We start from the raw sequence: 9,910 nt of genomic DNA on the forward strand, positions 1-9,910 counted from the left end.
TCTGCATAAATTCTCTGGGAGTAGTAGGCCATACATACGTAACTTGAAACTGCACCAGGATAGACAAAGAACTCACACAGGGTAGAGAAATATTTGAGGTCCCACCAGCTGAAGTGGAGAATACATAGTGATCATTTAGTATTTAGTTATAGTGTTGATTATATTTAGAACGATGGCTACTCTAAACCTGCCCTACCAAAGCTTTAAAAACAGATCCCAAAGGCATCAAACTAATACACAAGTAGATTAATGATCCAAAAAAACAAAACCAGACATTCCGTAAAGAAAACAAAAATGTAATATTCAGAACATCTTGGATCCAATTATTACTGGACATCCTAGGAAACAGAAAAATATAACTCAGGCCGGGCGTGGTGGCTCATGCCTGTAATACCAGCACTTTGGGAGGCCCAGGTGGGTAGATCACAAGGTCAGGAGTTCAAGACCAGCCTGACCAACATGGTGACACCCCATCTCTACTAAAAATACAAAAATTAGCTGGGTGTGGTGGCACGCCTGTAGTCCCAGCTACTCAGGAGGCTGAGGCAGGAGAATCGCTTGAACCCGGGAGGCGGAGGTTGCAGTGAGCTGAGATCACACCACTGCACTCCAGCCAGGGTGAAAGAGCAAGACTCCGTCTCAAAAAAATAAATAAATAAAATAAATAAATATAAATAAATAAAAAATATATAAATAAATATTTTTAAAATATATATTGTATATATTATATTCTCTCTCTCTCTATATATATATACACACACACACACACAACCCAAAGCTGAAAGAAAAACAGGTCAATAGAAATAGACCCAGAAATGAAAGATATGCATATGTGTCTATTAAGGGAGCTATTTAAGTAATTCAAGTATTTTAAGAAAAGAGTGAATGATGATGACAATGGCAGTGGCTGCTGCCATCATGACAGCTGCAACAGGAAAGCGCGGCTGGGGCTGCACACTCCATGGAGCCATTGGGAGCCCTGCCCCTTCTGAGTTGGGACAGGAGCTCCCCTGCCAATGCAGCTGCCCAAACTGCAGCTGCAGACCCAGGCTTCCTTCTCTATGCAGCAAGCAGGAGCCCTGCCTTCCTGGGTGGGGCCACAGCCGCCCAAATTACAGCTGTGGATCTGAGCCTCCCTGTGCTCTTGGGGGAGCTGGGAACAGGCAGGATCTGCCTTCCTGGGTGCAGCTGCAGCCATGGCATCCTCAGCTGCAGACCTGGGCCTCTTGCTCCAGGAAGCAGGCAGGAGCTGGGGACAAGTGGGAGCCCTGCATCTTCCAAGGTGGCCGGGTAGGAGCTCCTGGGTGGAGCTGCGGCTGTCCTCCCCGGTGCAGGACCCTGGCATCTCTGCAGCCTGCACCTTCGGGCACCCCAGTAAGGCCCTTGCTGTCCCTGCAGGCTTACATATCGGATCCTACTATCTGGCCTCTCTCCACTCCCAGCATCCTCTCCGATTTCGGAGTGGGGTTGGGGCTAAGCCCCGGGGCCATGAATGGCAACAGGTGGCAGACAGAGTCCTGGGCAGAAGGGGGCAGAGTCCCCAGTACGGCCCCACCCTTAGGCCAGGGAGGGCCTGAAGACTGGGGCTGGGCTTCCAGTCCCAAGGACTGGAGTGGGAACTCATGGTACCTCTTCTGGACCCACTTATGGCTGCCCATGGATCAATCTGCACACACTTCCTCCCTTCTGAGGTGCATAAAGGCCCTGGGCTCAGCCAGAGCAGGGCAGAGGATGGCCAGAGGATAAGGAGAGCAGAGGATAGAGAGACTGTTGGAGTACCCTCTCCCCTGATAGCTGGAGGAGATGGAATGTGCAGCTGCAGAGAATAGTACCCTCTCTGCTGACAGCAGCAGCTGCAGTGGAGAGCTTCAGAGACCTGCAGCGACATCTGAATTACTTGCCTGTAGAGAGGAGCCACCCTCTCCAGGGCCTCCTCCCTGCTGAGAGCTGAACACTCAAGAGGAGAACCTGCCTACAGAGAGGAGCTACCCACTCCTCTGAGCCATTCTAAGACTAAATAAAACTCTTCTTCTTCACCCTTCACTTGTCTGTGTACGTCATTCTTCCTGGACACAGGACAAGAACTCAGGCAAAGGCACTGTGGCCACAGAGGTTTCCAGCTAGAAAAATTGACACCCTAGTGATCCTATAACAATGAGTAGAAAAATGAAAGCTATATGGATCAACTGAAATTTTTGGAAGCAGAAGTGCAATATTTAAAATAAAATTTTTATTGACTAGAATGACAGCAAAACAGAAGCCAAAGGAAAAAAACATCAGTGACATTGAATAAATGAACCACAGGGAGGAATAAAAGACTGAAAAATGATGAGTCTCAGTGAATCGTGGGAGTACTTTAAGTGTTCTTTAACAAGTGTGATTGCATTCAAATAATAACGATATGGTACAACAGATAAAATGTTTGAAGAAATAATAACTGAATGCAATAAATCCACACAAGAAGTTTGATGACCCCCTAGCAAGAATACCCAAACACACACACATGAATAAAGCACAAGGCACATCATCAGTGTACTGAAACTAATGATAAAGAAAATATCTTGAAAGTAACAAGAGGAAAATTAAGACATATTTTATACAAAAGAAAAATAAAAGAATGACAGTGATGTCTCAGAAAATATGAATGTATGGCAACACCATCTTTAAAGTGCAGAAGAAAAACAGTTGTCAACTTATAATTCTATATTTCACAAAAATCTCTATCAAAATGAAGAGGAAATAAAGACTTCCTAGACTTTAACAAAAGGTTTAAAAAAAACTGAATTTTACAAATGTTTAGGCAGAAGCAAATTAATATCAGATAAAAGTTTAGATTTACACATGGAATTAGGAAAACTGAGAATAGTACGCATCTAAAAACTAAATGATTTTCTCATTTTCCTGTTGCTTTTAAAAAACAATTGACTGTTAAAGCAAAAATAATAATAAAATACTTTTAGATTTTTTAACCTAAGCAGAAATAATGAGTCTAACATTAAAGTCTAAAGGAGCTACAATAAAGATCAAATTAAATTCAAAGAAAGTCAAAGGAAATAAATAGGAAAAAAGTAGAAATCAATGAAATAGAAAACACAGAACAGCAGAGAAAATCAAAGAAGTCAGTGGCTGATTATTTGGAATACTCAATAAAATTAATAAACCTATGGCAAGCCTGGGATAAAGACAAAAATAAATATGCAGATTTCAAAAAAAAGGAAAAATGGAGAAATTATAGATTTTACAGATATGAAAGGAATGGTAAGAAAACATCATGTAAAATTATGACAGTAAATGTGACAACTTAGATGAGATGAAAAATTTTTTTGAAATGTAAAAATTATTGTTATCAGGCAGGTGCAATGGATTACACCTGTAATCCTAACACTCTGAAAGGCCATAGCAGGAGGAACACTTGAGCCCAGGAGTTTCAGACCAGCCAGGGCAACATAGTGAAACCTTGTTGACAGTGGTGGCAGCCCGTCTGGATCAGCTGCTGCGGGGATGCCAGCTGCAGTGGGGGAGGTGTGGCTGGGGCTTTGTGCTCTGTGGAGCCAGAAGGAGCTGGGGACAGGTGGGAGCCCAGCCCCCTAACAAGTTGGTGTGGAAGGAGCCCTGCGCTCCTGGGTGCAGCTGCAGTCACCCAGCTGCAGCTCCAGACCTGGGCATACCTGCACTCTTGGGGGCCTGGGAAGACCCCCTATCCTCACAAGCTCAGAAGTGTCTGCTGCTGCTCTCTACCTTCTCTCCACTCCTGGCAGTCACTCCAATTTCAGAGCAAAATTGTGGCTGAGGCTGGGCATTGTCACAACCTGGCTGGGTATGTGCATGCTTGTGGCATTGCTGACACACCAGCCCCCACCACTGTCTCATCCCCTCCAAACTTTGGGTACTGAGGAGTGTGGGATGTAGTCTGGTTGTGGGGACAGCCTGGCAAGGGCCTGTAGGTGCCCTTCGGTACAAACAGCCTGGATTCCGTGGATGGCATGTTGATATCAGGAGGCAGACAGTTCCTGGGCAGAAAGGGGCAGGTCCCCAGTGAAACCTCAACTTCAAGCCAGGGGTGGCCTGAAGCCTGGGGGCCTGGCTGCAAGTTCTGGGTAGAGTCCACAGCTGGAGTGAGAACTTATGGTGCTTTTTCCGGACCCGCCCATGGACCAATCAGCATGCACTTCCTCCTTTCTGAGCTCATAAAAAGTGCTGGACTCAGCCAGACTCACACAGACTTTGCACTACCAGCTACAGGAAGGAGCTACCCACTTCACGTCTCGTCAGCTCATTGGGATGACCTGCCTATGGAAAGGAGCTACCCACTCAGGGTCTCCTCCTTGCTGAGAGCTGTACACTGTTTTATCTGACCTGCCTTTGGATAGGAGCTATCCACTCTAAGTCTCCTGATAGCTGTTCTGTTGCACAATAAAGCTGTTCTCCACCTTGCTCATCCTCCAGTTGTTCACATACCGCATTCTTCCTGGATGCAGGACAAGAACTCAGGACCTACCGAATGGAAAGACTGAAAGAGCTGTAACAAAAATGGCTGAAATACCCACCCCACTCACAACGTTGTGGGCACTGAGAAGAACAGACTAGAGAAAGAAGAGAGAGAATAGAGAAAGAGAAGAGCTGCAGCCCTTTGGGGTGCACAGACCTAGGAGCTCCCTGAGCTAGGGCTGTGACACCTTCTTTGGAGCCCTGCAGTTTCTGGAATCTCCAAGCTTTTGGGCACCACTCCATTCCCCAGTGCCCACAGTGTAAGCTGCTTGCAGTACACCTGGTCCAGCCAGAAGCTTGCAAGGAGCTGGTGCCTATGCCAGCACCTGAAGCTGCCTGTCCCACCGCAGCTGGCACACCTGGCTGTGCACAGTGGCTAGACTCTGTGCTTGCTCTCACACCCCTTAGTGCTCTGCACCTGGCTAACCCTTGACAGGCATGGGATCTGGGCTGGTAGCACAAGCTGAGTGCAGCCTGCTGGGCCAAGTGGGCAGAAGGAGCCCAGCAGGCCTGAGCAAAACTCAAGCAAAGGTGCCACTGGCCACAGAGGTTTTGAGCTGGAAAAGTGACATTATAATGATACTGTGACACCGTCTCTAAAAAAAAAATAAAAAAATTAGTCAAGCATGGTGGCACATGCCTATAATCCCAGCTACTTGGGATGGTGAAGCAGAAGAGGATCACTTCAGTCCAGGAGTTTGAGTCTGCAGTGAGTGAGCTGATTGTGCCACTGCACTCCAGCCTGGGCAACAGAGTGAGATCCTGACTCAAAAAAAAAAAAAAAAAAAAAGAAAAGAAATTACTAAGGTATCAATATTTACTTCAGGAGGCATAGAATATCTGAATAGCCCTGTATCTAATAAAGAAATTTTATTGTAAGAAAATTCTAAGCTTTAGTGGTTTCACCCATGAATTCTAACAAACATGGGAGAATGAAATAATGCCAGTGTGACATACCTTTCTCAGAAAGTAAAAGAGAAGGAATGAACACTAACTGATTGTATGAGGCCAAAATTACCCAGACACACAGTAGACAAAGATATTTGAAAAAAAGTAAACAACAGACCAAGATCAAACATGAAGAGTGATGCTGACATTATTATGAATATACTTAAAAATTACATACAATAAAATATCAAAAAGGTAATACCACGGACAAGTGAATTTTATCCTAAAATGCAGTCAGTTTAACTGAAAATCAATGTAATTCATTAAATTAATAAAAATCCACATGATCATCTCAGTAGGAAAAAATATTATTTGACAAAATGTAATGCACATTCATGTTAATAACTCCCAGAAGCTAGGAAGAGAATATTTGCTATCTGCTAAAACTAAATTATAAACATATCTACAGCTAACATTTTACTTAATGATCAAAAATAAATGCTTTCTACTTAAGAAAGAATGCAAGAGTATTGTAACATAACACTTCTTTAATATGTTACCACAAATTTGGTATGTAAAACAATACAAATCCATTATTTTACAGTCCAGGAAATCAGAAGTCTAAAATGGGTCTGGGGGTGGTGCTCCTTCCGAAGGCTCTTGGGGAGAGTCTGTTGAGTTGCCTTTTTCAGTTCTTAAATTCTGTCTGCATCCTGTGGTGCATGACCCCTTACTTCATTTTCAAAGAGCAGCATAGCACCTTCTGCTTCTCTGACCTCCTGTCTCTCTCTTATAGGGAACCTTATGATTAAATCAGGCCCACTTGGATAATCCAGGATAAATCTCCTATCTCAGAATCCTTAACTTGATCATACCTGCAAAGTCTCTTTTGAATATAAGACATGTTGTTCACAGGATTTAGGGATTAGACTGTGAACATCTCTGGGGGCAATTTTTTATCTTACCAGAGCATGGATGTTCAATCTTACCACTTCTCAATATTGCTCTGAATTCCCTAGCCTTTGCAAAAAAGTGAGAAATTAAAAGAAACAAAATGCATTTATGTCTGTTTGTACATGATATAATTGTGAGCAGAGAACAGCCTGAGAGATCGATGAAAAAGCTACATAGTGGCAGGATGCACTATTTATGCATAAAAATAAATTATATTTTTATGTATTCAGAATATACAACCAAAAATTGAAATTGAGAAACAATAGTCTTTTCAATAGTGTAAATTATCGACTCTTCAGAAATAAATTTAACAGAATATGTACAAGTCCTTTACATAGAAGACTACAAAGTTTTGCTGAAGCAAGATAAAGATCTAAATAAATTGAGAGCAATACCATGTTCTTAGATTCCAAAACATGTAATTATCCCCAAATTATATATTTAACTCAATTCCAATAAAAACCCTAGAAAACTTTCTTGTAAAAATTGACAACCTATTTGTAAAATTAATGAGGAATTTGTAAAAAAAATTAATAACAAATTTGTAATAGCCAAAGAAATTTTGACATAAAAGAATCACTATCTGATTACCTTCCTAAATGGCTCTATTAATTAAACTATGTGTTTATATAAGAATAGATAATTAATAAAATATAAATCTAATACATGTACAGAAATGAGTACAGAAATAAATAATCATATATATGGTCAATTGATTGTCAATAAAATTGCCTAGATAATTCAATGAACAAACTTTTTTTAAAAGCTATGTTAAAATAACTTGATATCCATATTCACAAAGTGAACCTCAGCTTTTGTCTTGAAATAGATACAAAAATAAATGTAATCTATAAAAAGTAAATGATATACCTAAATGTAAGAACAAAAAAATCCGAGATTTCTAAATGAAAACAGAAGAAAACATCTTTATGACTGTAAAGCAATGATTCCTAGATGATACACACGAGTCAAAGCTGTAAAGGAGAAAGTGAATTAATCGAACTTCTTCAAAATTTAAAACTTTTGATTTTGTTAGGCAATGATAAGAATATAAAAAGGCAAGCCCAGACTGGGAGAAAATATTTGCAAATCACACATCTAACAAAGGATTTGTATGTAGAGCATATAAATATTCTTATAATCTTATATTAAGACAACATAAAACCCAATAAATAAAAAATAGACAAATGATTTGAACACACTTCAGAAAAGAAGTATGTTTTAACCAAAATCTGACACCACAGCATAGGTTAAACTAGACTAATTAAGTTAAGAAACAGAACTTGCAAGATTTATTATTCTTGCTTTAACTTTCTAATATTTCTTAGCTTCAAAATATTTTTTTATTTTTTTAAATAACATTTGAATGTAAAAACCAAATTGAAATTATTTGCTGTTGACCACACCTATTCAGTGATAATGTTGTTAGGAAGATTATATTGCTCATCTGTAGTCATGGTGCTTGAAATCAGAAAATTTCTAAGTAAAAGCAAATGGCCATTTACGAATACAGTCTGCAAAGTTATAGTACACAATGCTCATGCTTTACATTCTAACCCAAGAGAAACCTAAATTAAGCACCAGCATTTTAAATATATGTAGAAATTGAAGGCTTATAAAAATAGAATTGCAATCCTTTCATAAAAGCCAATAATTTATTCTATAGCTTTCTAAGATGATAAGAAAATTGTAACTATTCTCCAAAATAACTATAATCCATCATGTAGAAATGGAAAGTTTCAAAGAAAAGGTTGACCCAATATTTTCATCTTTGTAGAAAGAATGAAGTTATTTGGGTATCACAGAAACTAATGAGAAGGCAGATTCTGGTTCAAGAGAAAATGATTTATCATTTGATATCAATATTTCAGAATGGATACTCTATCTTTGATGGAATAATTAAATGAGATTCGATGTCATGACAAAATGTGTTCCCAACTTATTTATGTTAAAATAATTGCTAGAAAATTTTAAGTTGAAAACTTGCTGCATTGATGCAAGTGATCTAGCCAAATTATTCAAGGTTTCTCTGTTATCTTCTTTTGTTTAATTTCTTTTTTGGAGAGCAGACTTCAAAAGGTAATGGATTATAAAGGTAATTATAATTACAGAATAACAATGTCAATTATATCTTTCAACTGGAAGACACTCTATTTCCCTTCTATTTGTTAAATTTTACAAAAGAACAAACTTGTATAGCTCAAACAATACTTGAATGAACAGTAATTGAATTTCATGCCCCATCAGCCAGTCAAATTTAAGAATATTCCCCATTATTGTCACAGAGGACAAAGCATGGATTTCATTATATTCAACACAGAACAATGTCCTTTGGAGCTGCTGACCTTCTGAGCTTTGAGAGACTGAAAAAGGACAAATGCCTTTTACAATAAGTAAATCTTCTGATGTTTCATCTAACAAAAGCTGCTGGTAGAATTAAATCCGCCCCCCACCCCCGCCAGCATTCATCCTTCCCACACATAACACTAAAAACTAAAGGTAAATACCTGTATATTTCCAGCATTAACAGTAATATGCAGGTAAAACAGTAATGCTTTAACTCAACTCCTGTACCTTCCAGATATATATGTGTGGGCATGTGTGGGTGTGTGTGTGTGTGTGTGTGTGTGTGTGTGTGTGTGAGAGAGAGAGAGAGACAGAGACAGAGAGAGAGTGGTGAGAGGTCACATTAGCTTTAGTCCTCTTCTTCTGGGTTCACATAATAAGGGAAATACTTGCTTAGCCCTGACAAAGCCTGCTGGAGCAGAGGGCAGGAGCAAGTCAAGGTCAGAGAGCCATGAAGCCTCAGGAAGTGGGGAGCACTGACTGGAATTTACAGCCTGGATCCCTGTAGATAAAAGAAACCAATTTTAGTGACTATGCTCAAGGGAGTATTGCAAATGTCATGCCTCCCATGTTTAGCGAAGTTTCTGTAATTGAGCACTTACTTGTAAGACAGTAGGTGCAGCAGGCATGGTGGTCTTTAGGTTAGATGAATGCAGATAGCTCCAATCCACATTCTCACTACCACATCTCCATCTCAGTGCTCCAACAAGCTGTAGTCTCCATGATTTCCTCATAACTAAGAATTTCAAAGCTTTATACCCTTAGACCTATAGTCTCCTTTGCTTGGGATGCTTTCCCCAGTCTTTACAAGATAGCTTCAAAACCTAGTTAATTGTTTGTTCTTATAAAAGCACAAGTAAGTGCTCCCAAAAACAGAACTGGTCATTCTCTCTCTGTGCCCTTATGTATACTGTATATTTAATTTGTCCAGTGAAATCTCTGCATCAAGATACAACTTACTTCAAGACTGTTTTGAAAAGGAAATCTTTTCATTCTGATAGAGGCAATTTAAGTCTTAATTAGGTGTCATTTATAAAGTATTTCACACTGAGACCTTTCCAAACAAACAAAAAAATCATTTAAAATTTACTTTGTAGACTAAACTCTCAAGGACTTTGCAAAAAAACCCACTGTTCTTTGTAGTTTTGATTTCTCATATATGCAAATAGTTGTACAATTATGTAGCATTTGTTGTTGTTGCCCGGTTGATTGCTTTAGACTCCAATTATCATTC

General features: G+C 39.8%; 3 annotated features.

The window, feature by feature from the left end:
- Positions 1,344-1,843: an enhancer, noted in NCBI's record as "H3K4me1 hESC enhancer chr18:58220229-58220728 (GRCh37/hg19 assembly coordinates)". NCBI's record gives its function as "activates a minimal SCP1, AML or CMV promoter by ChIP-STARR-seq in naive H9 embryonic stem cells {active_cell/tissue: H9 hESC(naive)}" and the evidence as "EXISTENCE:reporter gene assay evidence [ECO:0000049][PMID:30033119]".
- Positions 3,218-3,719: an enhancer, noted in NCBI's record as "H3K4me1 hESC enhancer chr18:58222103-58222604 (GRCh37/hg19 assembly coordinates)". NCBI's record gives its function as "activates a minimal SCP1, AML or CMV promoter by ChIP-STARR-seq in primed H9 embryonic stem cells {active_cell/tissue: H9 hESC(primed)}" and the evidence as "EXISTENCE:reporter gene assay evidence [ECO:0000049][PMID:30033119]".
- Positions 3,720-4,219: an enhancer, noted in NCBI's record as "H3K4me1 hESC enhancer chr18:58222605-58223104 (GRCh37/hg19 assembly coordinates)". NCBI's record gives its function as "activates a minimal SCP1, AML or CMV promoter by ChIP-STARR-seq in primed H9 embryonic stem cells {active_cell/tissue: H9 hESC(primed)}" and the evidence as "EXISTENCE:reporter gene assay evidence [ECO:0000049][PMID:30033119]".

Source organism: Homo sapiens, chromosome 18 (genome assembly GCF_000001405.40).
Source record: "Homo sapiens chromosome 18, GRCh38.p14 Primary Assembly".
NCBI lineage: Eukaryota > Metazoa > Chordata > Mammalia > Primates > Hominidae > Homo > Homo sapiens.